General features: G+C 42.2%; 1 protein-coding gene across 5 annotated transcripts in view, besides 5 other annotated features; it reads left to right on the plus strand.

Moving 5' to 3' along the window:
- Nucleotides 1,232-1,621: a silencer, noted in NCBI's record as "silent region_5139". NCBI's record gives its function as "represses an Ori minimal core promoter by ATAC-STARR-seq in GM12878 lymphoblastoid cells {active_cell/tissue: GM12878}" and the evidence as "EXISTENCE:reporter gene assay evidence [ECO:0000049][PMID:35858748]".
- Nucleotides 1,663-25,574, plus strand: part of MPHOSPH8 (M-phase phosphoprotein 8) — a 39,783-nt gene continuing 15,871 nt past the window's right edge. For all 5 annotated transcript variants that reach the window (XR_007063684.1, NM_017520.4, XM_047430395.1 and 2 more), the window contains exons 1-5: nt 1,663-1,965; nt 10,119-10,274; nt 14,447-15,295; nt 16,426-16,525; nt 18,007-18,264. Coding sequence is in view for 4 of the 5 variants with exons in the window: in NM_017520.4 (NP_059990.2) it covers nt 1,753-1,965; nt 10,119-10,274; nt 14,447-15,295; nt 16,426-16,525; nt 18,007-18,264 (1,576 nt within the window). In the remaining variant the exon portion in view is untranslated. The remainder of the gene's footprint in view (nt 1,966-10,118; nt 10,275-14,446; nt 15,296-16,425; nt 16,526-18,006; nt 18,265-25,574) is intronic.
- Nucleotides 1,712-1,961: an enhancer, noted in NCBI's record as "active region_7406". NCBI's record gives its function as "activates an Ori minimal core promoter by ATAC-STARR-seq in GM12878 lymphoblastoid cells {active_cell/tissue: GM12878}" and the evidence as "EXISTENCE:reporter gene assay evidence [ECO:0000049][PMID:35858748]".
- Nucleotides 2,142-2,271: an enhancer, noted in NCBI's record as "active region_7407". NCBI's record gives its function as "activates an Ori minimal core promoter by ATAC-STARR-seq in GM12878 lymphoblastoid cells {active_cell/tissue: GM12878}" and the evidence as "EXISTENCE:reporter gene assay evidence [ECO:0000049][PMID:35858748]".
- Nucleotides 2,522-2,571: an enhancer, noted in NCBI's record as "active region_7408". NCBI's record gives its function as "activates an Ori minimal core promoter by ATAC-STARR-seq in GM12878 lymphoblastoid cells {active_cell/tissue: GM12878}" and the evidence as "EXISTENCE:reporter gene assay evidence [ECO:0000049][PMID:35858748]".
- Nucleotides 12,917-13,418: an enhancer, noted in NCBI's record as "H3K4me1 hESC enhancer chr13:20219053-20219554 (GRCh37/hg19 assembly coordinates)". NCBI's record gives its function as "activates a minimal SCP1, AML or CMV promoter by ChIP-STARR-seq in primed H9 embryonic stem cells {active_cell/tissue: H9 hESC(primed)}" and the evidence as "EXISTENCE:reporter gene assay evidence [ECO:0000049][PMID:30033119]".

The following is a 25,574-nucleotide window of genomic DNA, read 5'->3' on the forward strand; positions in this document are numbered from 1 at the left end:
AAAACACATAAAAGCAGAGAATAGTATAATAAACCTGTTAAGATTTAAAATATTTTAAATGTTGCCATGTTTTTCATCTCAAATCGTTACAAATCTACAACAATCTTCTCCTCCCTCTTTTTCCTTTAACTGGAAGAAACAGTCAGTTGTCCAATAGGATATCCCACATTGTGGATTTGTCTGATTGTTTCCTTTTCCTCTTTCCCCTTTATTCTTTCCTATAACTGGAAATTCCACTTAAAGGCCTGAGTATATTAAGGATCAACATTTTTGTTAACAGAAAGCATACAGTCTGGTTGTTCCACTTGTAGTAATGCTAACATTGATCAGTGGGCTTTCAAATGTGAAGCCAGATTTCCCCTACAACCAACAAATGATCTGTGGATCTATAGTGCCTTGTGAATATCCAGTTCCTCATCATCACCGTTTCATATAATGCTTTGTTCCTTAGATCTTTTGCACACATTATTGTGATTTTTCTAACTTTTCTTCTATATTTATCATCTGGAATTCTGTAAAAATGAGCTTTCTCCCATCAACTAATTATATGGGTAATATTTTTACAGTTTTTAAAATACATAATTGTTAGTATTGGTGTGTGTCTTCCTGGGACTCCTTCCTGTGGGTCCTAGGAAGGCATACTACACTCTACTGATCTTTGTATTCCTGTTACTAATGCCTACTATAGTGATGGTACATAGGATGTATTTAATAAGCTCAACGGTATATCATTTACTATCTGATTACAGTTGAGTGAAAAAAAAAAAATCATTGAGCCAACTCAAAGATCTGGTGATCCTTTCCAAAAGGATTTGCCGGACCATAGATTGTTCTTCAGTTAAAGCTCAGAGATTTGACGATGAGGCTCATCTTACAAATTAAGTCCACTGTTCAAAGAAACAAAAATAGAAAGCTTGATGCCATAAAGACTTCAGTTGCACATCCGAAATTCAAAGTGAGAAAAATATATTATCCTTAAATGTATTTTCCTAGCAGTATTTCGCTAACTTTGGGTGGTGTAATTTTTGTCAACTCTTCACAACCTGAACAAATACTTTTAATCACGTCCTTCTCCGATATTTTCAATGAAAAGGCAAAGGGCGCTAGAACTTGGAAAACGGATGCTTTTTAGGCCGCTAAATTTCCTTGTCTTTAAACAACACTCATTAAAATATAAGAGCACTGTGAGTTATGTTTGATTGGATCATCCACACGTGCTAAACCTATCAAAATCATATATGACTTCTGGGAAGCCGTTCTGCTTGGCTGGGGTTTCGGCAGCAGCAGGGTTCCCTTTCCTAGAAAGTCCCCAGCTCTGGCCCTACCGACGTCCGCACCTGAGGCTTCCCTGCTGGGGGATCAGGCACTGTCAGCTCCTCGGGGCCGCCCTCAGCCCTGGGACGCCCTCCGCCCCAACGACCCTCCTCCTCCCCAGCGTCGCGCCACTCGGCGGCCTCGCCGGCTCCCCTCCCACCCTTGACCTTTTCCGCCACAGCTACAGAACGCCCAAGCGCTCTTCCGCCTAGGGTGCCCTCCCTGCCCCGCCCACCTGCGTCCCGCGGGCTCAGCGGTGTTACGCCGCGCCCGCCTTAATATGATTGGTTTTTGTTCCTGTCACTCTAGGATCCAAGCCCGCCATTGGTCGGCTTCCGTTACGCCGCTGATGTGGAGTAGGGCCGAGCGCGGAACGCGAGGGGCTGCTGGGGTGTTTGTCGCAGCGGGTTTTCCTCGGCGGTTTGCGGAGCTGCTAGGATGGAGCAGGTTGCGGAGGGAGCAAGGGTGACCGCAGTCCCTGTGTCAGCTGCCGACAGCACTGAGGAGTTGGCCGAAGTCGAAGAAGGAGTTGGAGTAGTGGGCGAAGATAATGACGCAGCCGCGAGAGGAGCGGAGGCCTTTGGCGACAGTGAGGAGGACGGAGAGGATGTGTTCGAGGTGGAGAAGATCCTGGACATGAAGACCGAGGGGGTATGTGGAGGGGCCCCGGCGCGGGGCTGGGCGGGGAGCTCCGGGCCTGGCGGGGAGGACGCGAGCTGGAAACAGCACGGGCAGACCCAAAACAGGAGCGGGGGAGGAATGTGAGAGTTCAATGCAAGCACGCGAAATCGTGGGAAAAGCGAAGTGACATTTCCAACTGCACTCTTAGGGCTGAGTGTGTGAGGGAAGCTTCAGCAAATTTTGGAGGATTGTTTTGGCCGAAGAGACGAAGCAGTTTGGGATGTGGTGTGTGGTGATCACAAGGCTGCAGGCAGCTGGTGAAGGGAGCTGCTGCGCTTTGGCGTGATATGATAGTGAAGTAATGCTTCTCGTCGTAGTCCACTGTCCACGCCATCGTTACAGTGTTTTCCAAAACCGTAACCAACTCCCTGGTTTAAAATCTTCCGGAATTTTCATTTGCCCTTGGAGTAAAATCTCAATCTTACCCAGAGGGTGGCATTTAAAGGCCTTCATAACCTGATCAGCATCATCCCTCTCTCCCCTATGCGTTGTATAGCTCGCAGCCACACAGAAATACTTGGAATTCATCACACCATGCCTTGGTGTTTCCTGTTCTCCTGGCCTGGACAGTTCTCTGCCCTCTTCTTCTGGTGAAATCTTACTCAAATGCTTCCAAGGCCTCGGGGTGTAGCTCTCTGGGAAAGCTTTTTTTGACCCTAACCTCTGCAGAGTGAGGAGCTTCTCATCTCTGCTCTTTTTACTTTTTGTATTGACCTCTATGAAGGCATTTAAGCCATTATCGTTCTTTGTTTGTCTCTCCTGCTATATGTGGTCTCCTTTAATCCAAGGGGAAGCATGGACAATAAGAAAACAATCTGTTTCAGTAGATGGATGTGAGGTAAACAAAGGTCCCACAGTGGTCATTCTGTATGTTGTGTTTTCATTGTCTGTTATTTCCCATTGGTCATATGCTGCCTTGTGTCAATTTTTTGCGCATTCATTCAGCATTTTTTATCAACTACTGTATGCCAGGTGCTGTGTTAGGTCCGGACAATATAGAGATTTTAATTGAAGCATACACAGTTGCTAATAGTGGAAACTTTTCCTATGAGGAGTTAAGTAATTAAGAGCTGATGTCATTAATATTGTTATTTGCAATAAAGATGGAAATGTTTTTATGTATAATTTCTCCAAATATATTGTAAGCACTTTGAGGTGAAAGGATGAGCCACTGTTAGACTATTTTGTATCACTTGCATTTAACACAATACCTGGCACACAGGAGGTATTTGAAAAATATTCGGCTAGGGCCGGGCGCAGTGGCTTATACCTGTAATCTAGCACTTTGGGAGGCCAAGGCGGACGGATCACGAGGTCAGGGGTTCGAGACCAGCCTGGCCAACATGGTGAAACCCCGTCTCTACTAAAACACAAAAAAATACAAAAATTAGCTGGGCGAGGTAGCGGGCGCCAGTAATCCCAGCTACTCGGGAGGCTGAGGCAGGAGAATTGCTTGAACCCGGGAGGCGGAGGTTGCAGTAAAACAAGATTGCGCCACTGCCCTCCAGCCTGGGCGACAGAGGGAGACTCCGTCTCAAAAAAAATAATAATAATTTGGCTAGAAGGATAAAATCTTTAGAATTAAGATGATTCTCATTCATACAGTGTTTAATTTTGCCAGCCTCAAAGAATTGTAAGCACTGTATACCTAAAGCCTCACCAGTCTAAAGAGGGTGAAACTAAGAAACTTATTTGTGTAAGGCAATTAGGCTTTAGTGTTGTGAGTTAAAATTCAAGTTCTTGCATTTTTAGGTGCTCTTGTGAAGGAGTGGTTTATATGATTAAAGATGATATGGTTTGGCTGTGTCCCCACCCAGAATCTCATCTTGAATTGTATTCCCCATAATTCCCATGTGTCAAGGGCGCGACCAGGTGGAGGTAGGATCGTGGGAGTGGTTTCGCCCATGCTGTTCTCACGATAGTGAGTGAGTCTCAATCTGGTGGTTTTATAAGCGTCTGGCATTTCCCCTGCTTGCACTCACTCGATCCTGCCACCCTGTGAAGAAGGTGCCTGCTTCTCCTTTGCCTTCCGCCATGATTATAAGTTTCCTGAGGCCTCCCCAGCCATGCTGAACTGAGTCAATTAAGCCTCTTTCCTTTATAAATTACCCAGTCTCAGGTATTTCTTCATAGCAGTTTGAGAACGGACTAATACAAAAGGTGTTAGCGGAACAGGACTATTGCAGTTTTCTGTTTTCACTGCTGAGTGAACCAGCCGGTTGGTTAGCCACCTAGCCATTGACAAACTTAAGGGTACTGCTAGCGGTTTGTTAGGCCTCCTTATAGTCTAGTCTATAGTCTATAATCAGAAACACTTACAATTGATTCACTTTTTACTAATTAATAATATTTCTTGATTCTAACTATATGTATGAATAATTAACATAAGAACTGTGGAAATACATACATACACCACCATTCCAAATCATTATTTATAATTTATTTGGGGTAATAGAGTAAGCAGAGAATTAAATTCTAATAGTGTATATTAATTTCCTTTTTTTTTTTTGAGACAGATTCTCTGTTGCCCAGGCTGGAGTGCATTGGCATAATCATGGCTCTCTGCAGCCTTGACCTCCCAGGCTCAAACAATCCTGCCACCTCAGCCTCTCGGAGTAGATGGGACTATAGGTGTGCTCTACCATGACTAATATTTTAATTTTTTATAGAGATGGGGTCTCCCTACGTTGCCCATGCTGGCCTTGAACTCCTGGGCTCAAGTGATTCTCCACCCTTGGCCTCCCAAAGTGCTGGGATTTACAGGTGTGAGCCACTGTGCCAGGCCAATTTTTTAATTTTTTTAACAAAATTTTAAACTGTTGCTCTAGTGTATATGATCTGGTAGAATAGGGGTCTGCCTTTTAGTTTGGCTCACTGATTAAAGGAAACTTTGGCTACCAAGAAATAGACTGCTTCTGGAATTTTGAAGTCAAATTTATAAATCCTAGGGCTATCATGCAATTTCCTTATACATGGCAAAACCCTGGACAATTTTTTGGATTTACATGACTCCATACAAAGACGTGGAATTCAGGGATTTCATCTGTATTTGTATACTGCCATGCTCCTAAAACTCAGAAGGTTCCTGAAACATAGTGACCACGTTCAATAACTATTTGTTGAATGAGTGAATGAATGAAGCACACCTGTTGAAGTAAAGGGTAACAATTATCAGTAAATTAAATCTGGAGCTATAATTAAGATATGTTCCTTAATACTTGAAAATTGTTCTTAATACCCTCCTCATCAATTAGGTCATATTTCACTGATAACTAGCATTAGATTTATAACTATGTTAATGTAAAAGGTAATTTTCTAGTCTCCACTGCTTTTTAAAAATTATCAGAAATGTAAGAATTAGATAGACTCTCATATACCTTCACCCAGATTCTCTAGTTGTTAATCATTTATTTATCTTTTTTCTGTTTATGTACATTTTTTTCTGGCCCATTTGAAAGTGGTGTTTTTAAGGGCTATGTTGAATAACGCATTTACCACTATTTTTATGCACACACACAAACAAGGATCATTTTTGTTCCCATGACCCATTACTGATAAAATTAGCTGATAAAATCCACCCGCCTCGGCCTCCCAAAGTGCTGGGATTACAGGCATGAGCCACCGCTCCTGGCTCTGATGTTTATTCTAAAACCAAATATATTGCTTTCTTTTAGGCAGTTCTGCATACTATTGACTAAGATTTCTTTTCTTTTCCCCCATTCATGCAAGCTAAGAAGCTGTCTTCTTAGCTGTGCTGTCTCATCTTTAATTTCTTCAGTTTTAATTATGCCTTTACAGAAGACAGAAGCTCTTACAAAGTTATATACAGGCCGGGCGCGGTGGGTCACGCCTGTAATCCCAGCACTTTGAGAGGCCAAGGCAGGCGGATCACGAAGTCAAGAGATTGAGACCATCCTGGCTAACATGGTGAAACCCCGTCTCTACTAAAAATACAAAAAATTAGGTGGGCATGGTGGCAGGCGCCTGTAGTCCCAGCTACTCGGGAGGCTGAGGCAGGAGAATGGCATGAACCCGGGAGGTGGAGCTTGCAGTGAGCAGAGATCGTGCCACTGCAGTCCAGCCTGGGCGAAAGAGTGAGACTCCATCTCAAAAAAAAAAAAAAGTTGTATACAATAGTTTTCCTTTTGTATATTATTTTGCCTAAAAGAATATGCATATATTCTCAATGGATAAAATCACCATCTTCCCACCCATTTAATGTAGCTGAACAGTAAAAATAAAACTGTATTGCTGAACAATAAAACTGTATTGATGTACTCTTAACTATTATTTTAAAATTTTAAGGCTTTTCAGGCTTATCTTTAAAAGTTAAGATTTTGAGGCTGGGCACGGTGGCTCACACCTGTAATCCCAGCACTTTGGGAAGCCGAGGCAGACGGATCACGAGGTCAGGAGATCGAGACTATCCTGGCCAACATGGTGAAACCCCGTCTCTACTAAAATACAAAAAATTAGCCAGGCGTGGTGGTGTGCGCCTGTAGTCTCAGCTACTCGGGAGGCTGAGGCAGGGGAATCACTTGAACCCAGGAGGCGAAGGTTGTGGTGAGCCGAGATCGTGACACTGCACTCCAGCCTGACAGAGCAAGACTCTGTCTCAAAAAAAAAAAAAGTTAAGATTTTGAATTTGTTCTTTTTCTGATATTTCTTGAGTTCAGATTCTACTCAGTGCTTGTACTTGATCTTTCTACACAGATAACTGAATGATTGAAGGGCAGTGTGGGTACAATTGAAGGGTAAAATGGGTGGGGAGCAGTTCTTGGCACTTCGCTTGGAAAGTTTATTGCCTTGGTGGTGGTGTGAAGAAAATCAGGCAAGTGTTAAGTGTGTAGCTAGAATGGTGCTAGCGGATCTCTTGAGGTCAGGAGTTCAAGACCAGCCTGGCCAACATGGTGAAACCCCATCTCTACTAAAAATACAAAAATTAGCCAGGCGTGGTGCTGGGCACCTGTAATCCCAGCTACTTGGGAGGGAGAGGCAGGAGAATTGCTTGAACCCAGGAGGCAGAGGTTGCAGTGAGCTGAGATTGTGCCACTGCACTCCAGCCTGGGCAACAGAGCGAGACTCCGTCTCAAAAAAAAAAAAAAAAATTTACCATAGGGTTTTTAAAAGGCAGCTTGGTATGGGAGACATGTGGGAGTGGTGCTACAGGGTCTGTGTGTCTTTGTTTGGATGGCTATTTTGGCTAGTCACCCATCTGGAGGTCTGGTTGGCGCTGGTGGTAGCCTAGTTGCTTGCGACTCCTCCTGAGCAGGAGGATTCTACAGTGCCTGGTTTGTTTGAGATTAGCCTCTGGAATGTCTTTTTTTTTTTTCTTTTGAGATGGAATCTTGCTCTGTCACCCAGGCTGGAGTACAATGGTGTGATCTCAGCTCACTGCAACCTCCGCCTCCTGGGTTCAAGCGATTCTCCTGCCTCAGGCTCCTGAGTAGCCAGAATTACAGGCACACGCCACCACACCCGGCTAATTTTTGTATTTTTAGTAGAGACACGGTTTCACCATGTTGGTCAGGGTGGTCTCAAACGCCTGACCTCGTGATCCACCTGCCTCGGCCTCCCAAAGTGCTGGGATTACAGGTGTGAGCCACCACACCTGGCCTACCCTCTGGAATTTCTTAAGCAAGAGCATAATTAGATAAGCATGCATTGCTGGAAGAGAGTGTCTAGAGAGGAAAGGAATGCAGGGGTAAGAGAGGAGGGAAGGAAGAAAAAGAAGGTGATTAAAATATATTTTAAAAACTGAGGTCCCCAGTTACAGATGCATTGCCAAATCCAAAGTCGTGAAAACTTATTCCTGTGTTAAGAATTTTATGGGCCAGGCACAGAGGCTCATGCCTGTAATCTCAGCATTTTGGGAGGCCGAGGCGGACAGATCTCTTGAGCCCAGGAGTTTGAAACCAGCCTGGCCAACATGCCGAAACCCCATCTCTACTAAACAATACAAAACTCAGCTGAGCATGGTGGTGCCCACCTGTAATCTCAGCTACTTGGGAGGCTGAGCGATGAGAATCACTTGAACCCGGGAGGCGGAGGTTGCAGTGAGCCAAGATCGCGCCACTACTCTGCAGCCTGGGCGACCCTGTCTTAAAAAAAAAACAACCAAAAAGAAAAAAAAAGCTGTGGGGTAAGACACTGGGTTTGAATTTCAGCTGAACTACCCATTAGCTGTGTGATCTTTGACTAGTTACTTTATCTAGAAGCTTTAGTCTCCTCATCTATAAAATGGGTAATACTACCTAGTTCATGGGGATGTTGTAAATATTAATGATGAACTAATAAATGCAAAGATTTAGACAGCGCATGGCACATTGTAAAGCAGTTGATGAATGTAATTCTTTTGATTTCCCTTTAACCATTTAAAAATATAGAACAATTCTTAGATCACAAGGTGAGCAAAAACAGGAGGCAGGCCCTGCTGTAGTTTGCTGACCCCTGATACAGAGAGATGGACTCTTGTATCTGGTGGAGTGTAAATTGGAGCATTTTTTCTGGAAGGCATTTGGCAGTGTGTTTTAATCTTTAAATGGCTTGCCTTTTTTTTTTTTGAGATGGGATTTCACTATGTTGCCCAGGCTGGCTTCGAACTCCTGAGCTTAAGCGATCCTCCCACTTCAGCCTGTCAAGTATCTGGGACTCTAGGTGCCTACTACCACGCCTGGCTGCCATCAACCCTGGAAATGGCTAGGTTTTTTTTACCCCATTGACCTCCTTTCTGGGAATTTATTCTAACAACTTAATAAGAGATACACAGGGATATTACAGCTTTATTTATAAGTACAAAAAAAATGGAAAAGGGAGCGTTTTTGTACTATTTTTTGTTGTATTTGTATGATGGAATAATCTTAAGTCACTAAAGAGCGTTTGAAAAGTTATAACAAAAAGTGCTTGATACGTAAGTGAAAAAGCAATATTAAAAATTATAGTATTATCCTAATGTTTTAAAAACATTCTAAATATGTATTAATGTAATAGGTGAAGGAAATAGATCAAATTGTTTTCAGTATCCATTTATTATTTGGTTCTTCCTATCTTTTCTATTTTTCATTGCTTTTCAAGAATTACGTACTGCTTTATGGAATCAGAATAGGACTTCAGTCTTTGGTTTATGAAAAACAGATCAATAATATACTGTTTTTTCTTTTCATTTCTCTCTTTTGTTTTCCACACCAGGGTCTGGCTCTGTTACCCAGGCTGGAGTGCAATGGCACTATCTTGGCTCACTGCAACCTCTGCCTCCTGGGCTTAAGTAATCCTCCCACCTCAGCCTCCTAAGTAACTTGGACCACAGTTACATGCCACTGTGCCCAGCTAATTTTTTTTTTTTTTTTTTTGAGATGGAGTCTCGCTCTTTTGCCCAGGCAGGAGTGCAGTGGCACAATCTCTGCTCACTGCAACCTCTGCCTCCTGGATACAAGCGATTCTCCTGCCTCAGCCTCCCAAGTAGCTGGGACTACAGGCACGTGCCACCATCTTTTTTTTTTTTTTTTTTTTTTTTTTTGAGACAGAGTTTCACTCTTGTTGCTCAAGCTGGAGTGCAATGGCGTGTGATCTTGGCTCACTGCAACCTCTGCCTTCTGGGTTCAAGCGATTCTCCTGCCTCAGCTTCCGAAGTAGCTGGGATTACAGGCGCCCACCACCACACCCAGCTAATTTTTTTGTGTTTTTTAGTAGAGAAAAGGTTTCACCATGTTGGCCAGGCTGGTCTTCAACTCCTGACCTCAGGTGATGCGCTTGCCTCGGCCTCCCAAAATGCTGGGATTACGGGCATGAGCCACTGCGCCTGGCCCATAATTTTTGTATTTTTAGTAGAGACAAGGTTTCACCATGTTGGTCAGGCTGTTCTCAAACTCCTGGGCTCAAGCAGTCTGCCCACCTTGACCTCCCAAAGTGCTGGGATTATAGGCATGATCCCACTGCACCTGGTCAATACTTTTTTTCTTAAGCCACTTTTCTCAGGAGATGTGTGTACTTTAGAATGTGAAAATTTCCACTTAGAAGCAATTTTCAAGTTCTTTCATGTCTTCTCATCAGTTTTTTTTTTTTTTTTGGAAATTTAATCAAGTTAGCAATCTGCTTTATTTGCCTCCTTTTATTTTCTATAACAGGGTAAAGTTCTTTACAAAGTTCGCTGGAAAGGCTATACATCGGATGATGATACCTGGGAGCCCGAGATTCACCTGGAGGACTGTAAAGAAGTGCTTCTTGAATTTAGGAAGAAAATTGCAGAGAACAAAGCCAAAGCAGTCAGGAAGGATATTCAGGTACTATGTTTTGTCTCATATTTGTTTTTACATACATAAATTTATTGTAAATTTTAACTCTCAAAGTATGTGTAGTAAATGATTTACAAATAACAAAGTGTACCGTATTCTTTAGTGTAAATTCCATGTAGCCAATTCTCACAGACTGCTTTCAGTGATTTTTGCTGGGTTCTTCTTTCTGTACCCAACCTACAGTTGCAGTTGACAAACAAGAATAGTTTGGAGATGAATATTGATATTTTCCTTTAAGTTAAGAGTAAGGTCAAGGTGGAGAAAAAAGAGACATGCCAAACTATCATTTGTTCGTCCGTGACATGAGCAACTTGTTTTTGTATATTTATTCTGCATTATTAACTATGTCTTATGCCTGCTTTTTCTGCTAGTTAAAACAAATTATCTGGTGAGGACCTGGTTTAAAAAAAAAAAAAACAACTTAGAACTATATAGTGAAGATATCTCACATTAAGAGAATGATTCTCATGATTTTATAGGCTGAACATTGATCTTTCTCCCTACAATTTAAGTTTCAACTATGTTTTTTAAAATACCTAGTCTTTTCTTAAATGACCAAAACAATATTAGTTTTGACTGTGTGTAGTAGTTGTTAATAATAATAGCAATAACAGAAGTGCCTGGCATTTATTGAGCATGTGTGTATACTACATAACTACCATACACTGGGTCAGCACTGGTTTAGTAAGTGAAGCAATCACTTAGTAAAACAGGTGTATTTATAAGATGACCACTGGTCTGTCATGAGCTTTGAGTGATGTTACGTGACACTAATGGACTTCTACTGAACTGTTTTGTCAACATCGTAGTATTTTTAGCTTTTTTTTCTTTTTTGAGTAAACATGGAGTGTCTCATAGGGGCCAGACCCCTAAACAGTTACAGTTACGGAAAGATAGGTAAAATCTATTTTCTGCGCTTGATCTGTCTTCAGGTTATACGTAGATGTATGATTTTTTTCTTTTCTTCTCATTTATTTTTAAATACAGTCTTGCTTCTGTCACCCAGGCTGGAGTGCAGTGGCACAGTCATGGTCCACTGCAGCCTCAACCTCTGGGTTCAAGTGACAATCCTCCCACCTCAGCCTCCCAAGCAGCTAGGACTATAGATACACGCCACCAGGCCTGGCTAATTTTTTTTCTTTTTTCCAGAGACAGGGTCTCTCTCTATTGATCAGGCTGGTAGGAACTCCTGGCCTCAAGTAATCCTCGCACCTCGGCCTCCCAAAGTGTTGGTTGGGATTACAGGTGTGAGCCACTGTGCCCGACCTGATTTTTCTTTTAAAGATGGTACCATATACTAATTTTGCCCTTTGCCCTTCCTTTAAAATAATCTTTTATTAATACATATTTTATTCAGAAAACAAATATGGGTATTTTTTTTGGCACCAGTACATTTTCAGAGATTCTTTTATTCAACATGTTACTATTGGTGCTAAAACTGTTGTACATTTAGCTGGAACCCCTTCATACCAGCCCCTGTGTCCTGGCGCTCCCACTCAGGGTAGCACTGCTCTCTTTTTTGGCACAGTGGCACATCCCAGCCTCAATAAATCCATGCTGACCTCTGTAACTCGGCCTGTCACCACAGTGTCACCACAGAGACCTACGTGTTCTCCCTTTTCCTACCAGGAGAACTCTGGTCACAACAGTATTGCATGTCCTCATTTACTAAATCTTACAATACAGAGAAATTAACCTCAGATTTGCTATGCCCTTTCTACTGTGAATGACAAACAGTATTTGTTAATCTATTTGATAAAGTTCCACATTCATTTGTAGTTCTTTTTGTTCTTAGAATATATGCACTGTTTAATGTTCAGAAGTTACTTGAATTTTTTTTTCTGTGTGGTTATCAATTTTATAAACAGGTTCATTTGTCTGTTTGTATTCAGTTTTAGGGTTCCTCCATCCTTGCCGATGCAATTTTGTTGAGTATGTAAAATACTTAATGTGGTTCAAAGGATAAAACTAGAAATTAACTAGGACCTATCTTCTCCCTGCCCTCTCTCTCCCTCTATATCTAATTTGAAATACTGTCCTTTACTCCCAGTTAATAACTATAATCAGCAAGCATAATATTCCTTTAATATGTTCTCACCACATCTCCCTGTTATTTCCTAGATACACTGTACCTTGTTAGAACATTTAGTCACACATACTACAGTCTCTCTTATAACCCTCATTCAGTCTTAGTCCTAGAAGCAAATACATAATTAATGCTTTCCACCAGTCCTTATGGTGATGTTTGTCCAGTCATTTTTGGTTATCTGAAGTTCATGCTTTAGTACCGGACGTCTCAAAGTGTGGACTCCGGCAGGAGCATCAGTCCCCAGCAGAGGTGCATGCAAGAGTTTGCAACCCACCTCTGTGGTAGGAAGGCTCTTGAGAACAATATTCACTGACTTCTTTTGTTTCCTAACAGTGTGTTGGCAGCCTTTCTATCTGAATGCCAGTTGCAGATTCCTTAGTGCACATTTTCTTTTCTCAGGTGTCTTACTGTGTTAATCCATTGTTATCTGGCACAAAACATTGCTCTTGATGACCAGTTGAGTTTATTTGTCTTGTAAGTGACTTGGGGTCTTTTTGCCTGATGCTCCAAAGTTTTTGTTTGTTTTCTCTTCTGTTTTATAGACATGTCTTTTTGGTATGCTTTTATTGCTTTTAGGATAGTCAACCTGGCTAATTAAAAAAAAATTTTTTTTTAGATCTTTTGTTTCTGTCTTCTCTGGCCTACTTGGTTTGGAATCTAATCCTAGCAGTTTTTCCTCCTTGTGGGGCTTGGTCCTGGAAGTCCTGAGGAGAGCTTCACTGGTCCCTTTTGCAGGGCCTGGGAGGGGTCAGCCACCTCTCCCCTTCTCCGCCTTGCCCAGTGCACAGCAGGCCCCACCCCACAGCTGCTCTCTCAGGCAGCAGCAGCCTGGGCTTTTCCAGATTGTTGCCTTCGCTTCCCCTGAGTGACCATCCACACCACATGGGCCTTACCACTGTTTTAGTTTTGGTAAGGCCTGTGTGGTAGGGACTTGGGACTTACTAAAACCAAAAGCTGTCTGTGGGGAGTTTTGTTTTGCTGTCCTAGTTGCCTTGTTTTTTATGAGGTGATTCAGGGAGATTGGAAAGGTTAAGCCAGTGCCACCATATTCCCACTTGTTAACCTTGGTGGTGTCCATTTCTTAGGCAGTGCAGGGAAGACATTTTTAAAGTATATCTGGCCAGGCGCCGTGGCTCACCCCTGTAATCCTAGCACTTTGGGAGGCCGAGAGGTCAGGGGTTCGAGACCAGCCTGGACAACATGATGAAACCCTGTCTTTACTAAAAATACAAAAATTAGCAGGGTGTGGTGGCACGTTCCTCTAATCCCAGCTATTCGTGAAGCTGAGGCAGGAGAATCGCTTGAACCCAGGAGGCAGGGGTTGCAGTGAGTCACTGCACTCCAGCCTGGGTGACAGAATGAGACTCTGTCTCAAAAAAAAAAAAAAAAAGCTATCGTTTCCATCCCTTCTCTCTACCCCCAAGTCATTTAGGATAAGGTGGTTTTGGGAAATGGGAACAGAAAATACTTTGCATAGTGTTTTTGTGTTTATACGAGTACTTTATTCTTAAGTTTCTTTTTTTCAATTTTAAAATAGGAAAATATTTTTTCATAAGCAATATTTCAGATAACACATGAACTTGGGAAGTAAGATTTGTGTGCAGTCTTGCTTGTTCTGTACATAACTGTCAAACGTAGGAGCAAGTTTAAGGACATTCCAGGATCCAGGGTCTTAGAAAACGTTTTGTATTTGCATTGGTAACTACTTTGTTGGCAGCCAAGAAAGTCTGTAAAAATTACTTTCTTGGTGGTTTTGGAAATGTTGAAATTCAAATCATTTATAGCCCACCATACCTGAGTCCTTTCACTCCCACTTTGGGTTGGGCGCTCAGCAGCACTGAGTTTCTGTGCACCCCTGCCTTCCAGACTCACACTTGCCCTCACCGCCAAGACCTGTTTGCTGAGTCAGAGATAGAGGTAGCATACGATTTCAGCTTAGGTAAGCAGTTTTAAGAAGTTGAGATTCTGCTTGGAACAAAAAATATTCTTACCAAATTTCATTAGTACTACTTTTCAAAACCTTTAAAATCAATATGTTAATGAATATTTTAATCTGTTTTGTATTTTATAGAGACTATCCTTAAATAACGACATATTTGAGGCGAACTCTGATAGCGATCAGCAAAGTGAGACAAAAGAAGATACTTCCCCAAAGAAGAAAAAGAAAAAATTGAGGCAGAGAGAAGAGAAAAGCCCAGATGATCTGAAAAAGAAAAAAGCAAAGGCCGGGAAGCTAAAAGACAAGTCCAAACCAGACCTGGAGAGCTCCTTGGAAAGTTTAGTTTTTGATTTAAGGACAAAGAAAAGAATTTCTGAAGCCAAAGAAGAACTAAAGGAGTCCAAAAAGCCCAAAAAAGATGAAGTAAAAGAAACAAAAGAATTAAAGAAAGTTAAAAAGGGTGAAATAAGAGATTTAAAGACGAAAACAAGAGAAGATCCCAAAGAAAATAGAAAAACAAAAAAAGAAAAATTTGTCGAATCCCAGGTGGAATCTGAATCAAGTGTACTTAATGATTCTCCCTTTCCAGAGGATGACAGTGAAGGGCTACATTCCGACAGCAGAGAAGAGAAACAAAACACTAAAAGTGCAAGAGAGAGAGCAGGGCAGGACATGGGGCTGGAGCATGGCTTTGAGAAGCCCCTAGACAGTGCCATGAGTGCTGAGGAGGATACCGATGTCAGAGGCAGGAGGAAAAAGAAGACCCCGAGAAAGGCTGAGGACACTAGAGAGAACAGGAAGCTAGAGAACAAGAACGCTTTCTTAGAGAAGAAAACTGTGCCTAAAAAGCAGAGGAATCAAGACAGAAGCAAAAGTGCTGCAGAGTTAGAGAAGCTGATGCCTGTATCTGCCCAAACGCCAAAGGGCCGGAGGTTGAGCGGGGAAGAGAGAGGCCTCTGGTCCACGGACTCAGCCGAGGAGGTAAGGGCCACGGGAGGCAGCAGAAAACCCATGTTGAGTGGTCAAGACATTTCACAAGCAAGGAAAGGGAAACAGTCAAGCTATAAGAAAGTGTTTATGACCATGGGCGGTCATAAATGAAGATCCTCCAGCTTTTGGACACCGCAGCTTATCTCTTAGTCTCTGGTTTGTTTCTCTTAGAATGATTATGACTAGAAAATTAAAGGCTAATTTGTGAACAAAAATCAGGATGGTTTTTAGAGGTACTCAGATGATATATGGAGCATTGTATACTCAGGTTTATAGCTTCATCAGCTTATTTTATTAACTTTTCACATCCTGCTTGGTCATTTCCCCTGTTGTCTTGAGTATACCACTATTAAATAATAGGACACAAACTACATTAACCAGTATTTTAATGCTTTTTAAAATGTATTTAATAGGGAATTTGTCCCATTATAAAAATTATTTTTATATGGCTTTGCAAAATGGATATATTTTCCAAATTATGAGAGTATTTATATATGCAATATTTATCAAGGGCTATAAAAAACATCATTTTTTTCATCCATTATTTCCAGTTTTGGGAATGTATTTTAAGGAAATCATTTTAAAGAAGGAAAAGCTGTGCATACATAGTTATTTATGGCAGTATTATCTTCATTAGTGCTACAGCAAAATAGAACAACTTAGAAAATGCAGTGGAGAAGAAAACCCTACATAAATGTGAACACAGTCATGTAAAAATATGTGTGTAATGTAAACAAAAATGAATTTTAAAAAAGATTATCCATGTAAAAGTACGAGGACCAGAAGGGGGAACATGGAGAAGTACAATAGTCATGGTTGGTTAAGACTATGGGTGGAAAACTTTCTTATAATTTTCTTTTTTTTTTTTTAATAATAAAATTCCTAAAAGAGGGTTGGAAAACTGATGTTGGGTTTGGAATTTGATATTTTGTGAATTATTATATGGTTGACTGAGGAAGCAAAATTCTTTTGTGTGAAGAGGATTTAATGATCAGTTATCATGTACCACAGTATACAAGGGTGATTCCCTGAAGCCACAAACCTGTATTTTCCGGTTCTCAAATAAATTTACAGTGTCAACTCTTTATCCATTCTTGTTTTGGATATCATGTCATTTTCAGGACAAAGAAACCAAAAGAAATGAATCCAAAGAAAAATATCAGAAAAGGCATGATTCTGACAAGGAAGAAAAAGGCAGAAAAGAGCCAAAAGGATTAAAGAGTGAGTGTAAATATTAACGTTTTGCCATTTACGTTGCTATCTTTTATACAAATAACCAGTTACCTAAATTTATTATATAAAAATTTATATAATTTTTTTTCCTTATTTTCACCTTGTTTTTCCTTTTTAATATGATGAGGGATCTGATTAGAATTACTGAGACTGGAAATTAGTTGTGGCAGAAAAATAAATGTGTTTTTATAGCAAGATGCTAAATTTTAAAAAACCTTTTAATATATTCATTATATGTAACTCTGTGTCATTTGTGTAAATATAATATTGAATACGCATTTTGGATCACTTCAAGATAGACCATAATAGAAAATCCATTATATATATAAATATTGGAACAAATACTTTATATTTCTTGAAAACAAACAAAAAAACACCATTACAGTGTTTGAATAAACCCTAGCAGATAAATATTTAGTTTCTGTAGCAAAAGTACTTGGAACACATGTTTTCTGGCAAACAGTGGTTCTAAGAGATGGATGCTTTTCCTTAGGTTTTCTTACTGAAAGCTGTATGTAACTGAAGTAATATTAAAAGTAAGTTTTTTTCTAAGCCTAGGCTGGTTTTGGCAGTAGAAGCAGGTGAATGAAGTGGCAGGAGCAGTGGCTGTTTCAGTGGGTCACACATAAAGTGGCTGTAAGACTGTTGTTCAAAGCAAAACAAAAATCTTAAATGCCTTCTATTCTTCAAAGAATGACTAGAGGTTCAAAATACTGTAAAACTGGACCTGGCCTTGTTAACCTTTTTTCCTCCTAGTATCTTGTATGTCAGTTTCAGATACATTTTTACTGTGAACATACAGCCTTAAATGGAACTACTGTTTGTCCCATTCATAAGGGTACTCACTAGAGTCCAGTTTTCAATATTCCCTGATAATAAAACCTGTCTGCTGTGTACCCAGAGTTTATAATAGAATTCATCCTAATTCTCTTCTTTTTGGGGTTATTTCTTATGTCAGGTCTAGTACCTGCCAGTTTTCTTCCCACTTTCTTCTTTAGTTAAAAGCTGGTAGCGTCAGGTACAGTTTTACCAGGTACACAGGCAGTGCTCTGGCACCCTGCTGTTTCCCTCACTTGCCACCAGAAGCCATTTTGGTACAAGCTTCAACATCCAGCTATAGACAGTCTGGTGTCTTTAGCTGTGGGAAAGGTGCTGGTGTGACTTGGATCACTCTGAGACTCACTGCCTTCAGTAGGCCTTTGTCACAACTGCAGGTGAGTAGTTCAGAACATCTGCTTAACAGCCATTCACACTGGACATCCTTTCTGAATATTGAGCAGCCAGTAGAAAGACCAGCTGAAACGATTTTGTGGCTTTGACAGTAAATCAGACCAGGCTTTATAAGCAAGGTAGATGTTAGTAAAAATTAAGAAAATATCTTGTTGCTTTAACACTAAGTTAGATTTTCTTTTGAATGTAACAGAAATTTGTGACTCATACTTAACCATCTATTTTAATTTTTTCGTTAGCACTTAAGGAAATCAGAAATGCATTTGATTTATTTAAATTAACTCCAGAAGAAAAAAATGATGTTTCTGAGAATAATCGGAAAAGGGAAGAAATACCACTGGATTTTAAAACCATAGACGATCACAAAACCAAGGAAAACAAACAGTCACTTAAAGAAAGGAGAAACACCAGAGACGAAACGGATACTTGGGCATACATTGCTGCAGAAGGTGATCAGGAGGTTTTAGACAGCGTGTGCCAAGCAGATGAGAATTCAGGTGAGTTTGGAATCATTTTGCAGAATTTTTCAAGGTAGTGCACCATATTATTTTACTGTACTCTTCTCTGTATTTCTGATCTCAACGATCAAAAAATAATGGAGTCGAAGAGTTTATTTGGATCTCCTGAATAAATAACATTTTATATTGAAGACGGGTCATTCTGTGACTTCTCAATGGATCAAACAATTTTTCTGAGTTCCTATAATGTTCTCAGCACGTATAGAAATTAAAAGATTTCTGATTTTCTACCTTACCTACTCTTACCTGGCAGCCCCATTTTATATCTTACTATTTAATAGATTTCTTTCAGGAAATTATCAAATATAAACTTATTTGTATTTTACCCTTTTAATGTTGTAGCAAGTAACACTAAATAAGATTATATTATAAATGCTGTCCTGAGGACATTGGAGCTGGTCAAGAAGAAGAATACAGACTACAGTAGTGGTGGGGAGGAGGAGTGCTAAAAAGTGTACATACATGTTTATAACTAGGACCTAATAAATCAGAGAGGTTAGTCTAATAAAACTTTGTATAATTTGTGAATCTTGAGAAACAGTTGAGAATTGAAAAATTCGGAATATATGACAGACTAGATCGCCTGGGAAACCCTTATACTACAAAAATGACTATATCTTGGATACCGAGGGAAAATGTGCTTTTGGATATATTGCTGAGCTTGCAGGAAATTAGGGTAATTTCTGGTACCAGTGGGCAAGGAGGAAGAGGTATGTCGCCCAGAGGGCAGATGCCAAATAGTAACACTGCTGTTGAGATACCAGGCAGTAAAAAACAGATACAGTAGGGGAACATCAGTAAAGCCAGAAGTGGATTCCTGGTTTTCTATAAAATAAGCCTCTGACACAGTTTGTTGAGAACAAAAGAAACACATGAAAAAGAGGTACGATTACAGGTTGTGTACAGATTTAAAAGATGAAAGAATTCTATGAGCAATTTCTTACCAGTTGATTTGAAAACTAGCTAGGCGGCCAGGCACAGTGGCCTGTAGTCCCAGCACTTTGGGAGGTTGAGGCAGGTGGATTGCCTGAGCTCAGGAGTTGGAGACCAGCCTGGGCGACACAGTGAAACCCCATCTCTACTAAAATACAAAAACTTAGCTGGGCGTGGCAGTGTGCACCTGTATTCCCAGCTACTCAGGAGGCTGAGGCAGGAGAATTGCTTGAACCTGGGAGGCGGAGGTTGCAGTGAGCTGAAATCACACCACAGCACTCCAGCTTGGGTGACACAGTGAGACTCCACCTCCAAAAAAAAAAAAAAGAAAACTGGCTAGGCATGGTGGCATGTGCCTATAGTCACAGCTACTCTGGAGGCGAGGCAGGAGGATCAATAAGCCCAGGAGTTTGAGGCTATATTATGCTAAGATTGTACCTGTGAATAGCCACTGTACTCCATCCTGGTCAACATAGCAAGACTTCATCTCTAAAATTGAAAAAGAGGTTTGAAAACTGAATGACATGGGAAAATTCCTTGGGAAAAAAATAATGAGACTGATCCAAAAAAGACTGAATAGTCACAACTGTTAAAGAACATGAGGGCTGGGCACGGCGGCTCACACCTGTAATCCCAGCACTTTGGGAGGCCGAGGCAGGCAGATCACAAGGTCAGGAGTCCGAGACCAGCCTGGACAACATGCTGAAACCCTGTCTCTACTAAAAATACAAAAAAAAATTCGCTGGGCATGGTGGTGCGTGCCTGCAGTCCCAGCCACTTGGGAGGCTGAGGCAGGAGAATCGCTTGAACCCAGGAGGCAGAGGTTGTGGTGAGCCAAGATCACGTCACTGCACCCCAGCCTGGGCAACAGTGCGAGTCTCCATCTCAAAATAAAAAAAGAACATGAAATACGGGATTGCTGGCAAGATGGCCGAATAGGAACAGCTCCGTTCCGCAATTCTCAGCGAGATTGACACAGAAAGCAGGTGATTTCTGCATTTCCAACTGAGGTACCCGGTTCATCTCATTGGGACTGGTTGGACAGTGGGTGCAGCCCACGGAGGGTGAGCCAAAGCAGGGTCGGGCGTTGCCTCACCTGGGAAATGCAGGGGGTCGGGGAACTCCCTCCCCTAGCCAAGGGAATCTCTGAGGGACTGTGCCATGAGGAACGGTGCACTCTGGCCCAGATACTGTGCTTTTCCCATGGTCTTCGCAACTCACAGACCAGGAGATTCCCTCTGGTGGCTATGCCGCCAGGGCCCTGGATTTGAAACACAAAACTGGGTGGCTGTTTGGGCCGACACTGAGCTAGCTGCAGAAGTTTTTTTTCCATACCCCAGTGGCACCTGGAACGCCAGCGAGACAAAACCGTTCATTCCTCTGGAAAGGGGGCTGAAGCCAGGGAGCCAAGTGGTCTGGCTTGGCGGGTCCCACCCCCACAGAGTTCAGCAAGCTAAGATCCACTGGCTTGAAATTCTCGCTGCCAGCACAGCAGTCTGAGATCAATCTGGGCCACTTGAGCTTGGTGGGAGGAGGGGTGTCCGCCATTGCTGAGGCTCGAGTAGGTCGTTTTACCCTCATAGTGTAAGCAAAGCCTCCGGGATGTTCGAACTGGGAGGAGCGCACCGTAGCTCAGCAAGGCTGCTGTGGCCAGACTGCCTCTAGATTCCTCCTCTCTGGGCAGGGCATCTCTGGAAAAAAGGCGGCAGCCACAGTCAGGGTCTTGTAGATAAAACCCCCATCTCCCTGGGACAGAGCAACTCGGGGAAGGGGCGGCTGTGGGCGCAGCTTCAGCAGACTTAAACGTCCCTGCCTCACGGCTCTGAAGAGAGCAGTGGATCTCCCAGCACAGCATTTGAGCTCTGCTAAGGGTCAGACTGCCTCCTCAAGTGGGTCCCTGACCCCCATGTCTCCTGACTGGGAGATACCTCCCAGTAGGGGCCAACAGACGCCTCATACAGGAGAGCTCCGGCTGGCATCTGGCGGGTGCCCCTCTGGGACGAAGCTTCCAGAGGAAGGAACAGGCAGCAATCTTTGCTGTTCTGCAGCTTCCGCTGGTGATACCCAGGCAAACAGAGTCTGGAGTGAGCCTCCAGCAAACCTGCAGCAGAGGTGCCTGTTAGAAGGAAAACTAACAAACAGAAAGGAATAGCATCAACATTAACAAAAAGGATGTCCACTCACACCCCATCTGAAAGTCACCAACATCAAAGACCAAAGGTAGATAACTCCACAAAGATGGGGAGAAACCAGTGCAAAAAGTCTGAAAATTGCAAAAACCAGAACACCTCTTCTCCAAAGGATCACAACTCCTCGCCAAGGGAACAAAACTGGGCGGAGAATGAGTTTGACGAATTGACAGAAGTAGGCTTCAGAAGGTGGGTAATAAACTCCTCTGAGCTAAAAGAGCATGTTCTAACCCAATGCAAGGAAGCTAAGAACCTTGAGAAAAGGTTAGAGGAATTGCTGACTAGAATAACAAGTTTAGGGAAGAACAGAAATGACCTGATGGAGCTGAAAACACAGCACGAGAACTTCATGAAGCATACACAAGTATCAATAACGAAATCGGTAAGCAGAAGAAAGGATATCAGAGATTGAAGATCAACTTAATGAAATAAAGCAAGAAGACAAGATTAGAGGAAAAAGAATGAAAAGGAATGAACAAAGCCTCCAAGAAATATGGAACTATGTGCAAAGACCAAATCTACGTTTAATTAGTGTACGTGAAAGTGACGAGGAGGATGGAACCAAGTTGGAAAACACTCTTCAAAGTATTATCCAGGAGAACCTCCCCAACCTAGCAAGACAGGCCAACATTCAAATTCAGGAAATACAGAGAGCAGCATTAAGATACTCCTCAAGAAGAGCATCCCCAAGACGTAATCATCAGATTCACCAAGGTTGAAATGAGGGAAAAAATGTTAAGGGCAGTCAGAGAGAAAAGTCGGGTTACCCACAAAGGGAAGCCTGTCAGACTAACATCATTCTCAGCAAACTAACACAAGAACAGAAAACTAAACACACACTACATGTTCTCACTCATAAGTGGTAGTTGAACAAGGAGAACACATGGACCCAGGGAGGGGAACATCACACACCAGGGCCTGTCAGGGGGTAGGGGCTCCGGGAGGGATAGCATTAGGAGAAACACCTGATGTAGATGACAGGATGAGGGGTGCAGCAAACTGCCATGGCACGTGTATGCCTGTGTAACAGACCTGCATGCTCTGCACATGTACCCCAGAACTTATAGTAATAAAAAAAAGAACGTGGAATAATAAAAACAGCCTCATAAATTTAACGCCAAGTCAGATGGGTTTCTCAAACCAAAGGCTACCAAACTTATAAAAGTCGCTCTAAAAATAGACAAAGAATGCTAATGCTAACTTATTCTGGGAGACCATCATAACTTCAGTACCAAAACCAGACAAAAACTATATATAAGAAAAGGCCGGGCGCAGTGGCTCATGCCTGTATTCCCAGCACTTTGGGAGGCCGAGGCGGGTGAATCACCTGAGGTCGGGAGTTCGAGACCAGCCTTACCAACATGGAAAAACCCTCTCTCTACTAAAAATACAAAATTAGCTGGATGTGGTGGCACATGCCTGTAATCCCAGCTACTCAGGAAGTTGAGGCAGGAGAATCGCTTGAACCCAGGAGGCAGAGGTTTCAGTGAGCTGAGATGAAACCATTGCAATCCAGTCTGGGCAACAAGAACGACACACCATCTCAAAAAAAAAAAGAAAAATGACAGGCCAAGCTCACTAAACGAAGTCACACGCAAAATCCCCCACAAAATATTAGCAAATTTAATCTGGCCCTGTTTTAAAAAAAATCTCATGATCACGTTGGGTTTTTCCTACAAATTGTAAAGGAGAAATTGATTTAATAGCATTCTTGATTAAAAAGTAAAAACAAATTATGAATAAAGGGAGCTTTCTCGATTGATAAAGGACATTAAACCTTTAGCAACATAAGCCAGGCATGGTGGCTCACACCTACAATCTTAACACTTTGGGAGCTGAAATGAGAGGATCACTTGAGCCCAGGAGTTCAAGACTAGCCTGGGAAAACAAGACCCTGTCTGTACAAAAAATTAAAAAAGCTGGGTGTGGTACTATTTGCCTATAGCCTCAGCTACTTGGATGGCTGAGACAGGAGGACCACTTGAGCCCGGAAGTTCGAGGATGCAGTGAGCCATGATAACACCACTGTACTCCAGCCTGGGTAACAGAGTGAGACTCTGTCTCAAAAACACCACCACCACCACCACCACCACCAAAAAACCCTTTAGCAGCATGAGTTATAATGGTGTAACATTAGAAACATTGATTTGATTTGATTTTTTATAGAGATGGGTTTCACCATGTTTCCCAGGCTGGTCTTGAACTCCTGGGTTCCAGTGATCCACTTGCCTCAGCCTCCCAGTGTGCTGGGACTACAGGCATGAGCCACCATGACTGGCCAGAAACATTGATTTTAAACCAGGAATAATACAAGGATGCCTTCTGTCAACACTTTTATTCAACATTATACTAAGGTCTACTCAGTACAGTAAGACAAAGAAATAAAAAAGCCATAGGCATTGGAAAGGAACGGGGAGGGGAAATAGCTGTCACCCAGGCGGGATGCCTCCCACCTATAATCCCAGTGCTTTGAGAGGCCAAGCAGATCGCTTGAGCTCAGAAGTTTTGAGACCAGCCTGGGCAACATGGTGAAACTCCACTTCTACAAAAAATACAAAATTAGGCGCATGCCTGTAATCCCAGCTATTTGGGAGGCTGAAGCAGGATAATCGCTTAAATCCGGGAAGGTGGAGGTTACAGTGAGACGAGATCGCGCCATTGTACTCCAGCCTGGGCAACAAGAGCAAAACTCCGTCTCAACAACAACGTAATAAAATAAAATAAAATAAACCAGGCAGGATGGCACATACCTGTAGTCCCAGCTACTCAGGAAGCTAAGGTAGGAGGACCATTTGAGCCCAGGAGGCAGAGATTGTAGTGAGCTAAAATCGTGCCACTGCACTTCAGCCTGGACGACAGAGCAAGACTGTTGTCAAAAAAAAAAAAAAAAAAAAAAACTGTCGTCATCAGATTCATATTAAAAACCTAAAATCTACAAATAAATTATTAGAAGTATTAAAAATGTAGCAAGGTGACTGGATATAAGATCAGTGACAAAAGCCAATTTTCTTTTTTAAACCTATATACATTTCTACATAAATAATAAATGTATTTTTTAAAAGATACAGTTTTCAGGCCGGGCGCGGTGGCTCACACCTATAATCCCAGCACCTTGGGAGGCCGAGGCGGGTGGCTCATTTGAGGTCAGGATTTTGAGACCAGCCTGGCCAACATGGTGAAACCCCGTCTCTACTAAAAATACAAAAATTAGCTAGGCGTGGTGGCACATGTCTGTAATCCCAGCTACTCGGGAGGCTGAGGCAGGAGAATCGCTTCAACCGGGAAGGCGGAGGTTGCAGTGAGCTGAGATCGTGCCATCGCACTCCAGCCTGGGGGACAAGAGTGAGACTTTCTTTCAAAAATAAAAAATAAAAACATACAGTTTTCAATAGCAACACATTAAAAGATTTAAAAGATTGCTTAGAATATTGTTCATAAAAGATGGGCCAGGCACGGTGGCTCACGCCTGTAATCCTGGGAGACTGTGGAGGGTGGATCACTTGAGGTCAGGAGTTCGAGGCCAGCCTGGCCAACATGGTGAAACCCCGTCTCTACTAAAAATACAAAAATTAGCCAGTTGTGGTGGCATACGCCTGTGGTCCCAGCTACTCAGGAGGCTGAGGCAGGAGAATTGCTTGAACCCAGGAGGTGGAGGTTGCAGTGAGCTGAGATAGTGCCACTGCACTCCAGCCTGGGCAACAGCACAAAACTCTGTCTCAAAAAAAAAAAAAAAAAAAAAGGCCTGTATGGAGAAAATTTTAAAGATTTCTTGATTGCTTGAAAGTTACTAAAATGTATATATGCCATTTTTATTAGAAAACAGTTTTAGGGTCCAGGCACGGTGGTTCACGCCTGTAATCCTAGCAGTTTGGGAGGCTGAGGCAGGCAGATCATTTGAGGTCAGAAGTTCGAGACCAGCCTGGCTAACATGGTGAAACCCCATCTCTACTACAAAATACAAAAATTAGCCAGGCAGAATTTTTTTTGCATGAGCAAAAAAATAGCTTTTTTTTTTTTGCGCTTGAGCAAAACATAGCTCATGCAATTTCAGCTACTCAGGAGGCCAAGGCACAGAAATCACATGAACCTGGGAGGTGGAGGTTGCAGTGAGCCGAGATGGCGCCACTGCACTCCAGCCTGGGGACAGAGCAAGACTCCGTCTCAAAA

The sequence above is a fragment of the Homo sapiens genome, chromosome 13 (assembly GCF_000001405.40).
Source record: "Homo sapiens chromosome 13, GRCh38.p14 Primary Assembly".
Lineage (NCBI taxonomy): Eukaryota > Metazoa > Chordata > Mammalia > Primates > Hominidae > Homo > Homo sapiens.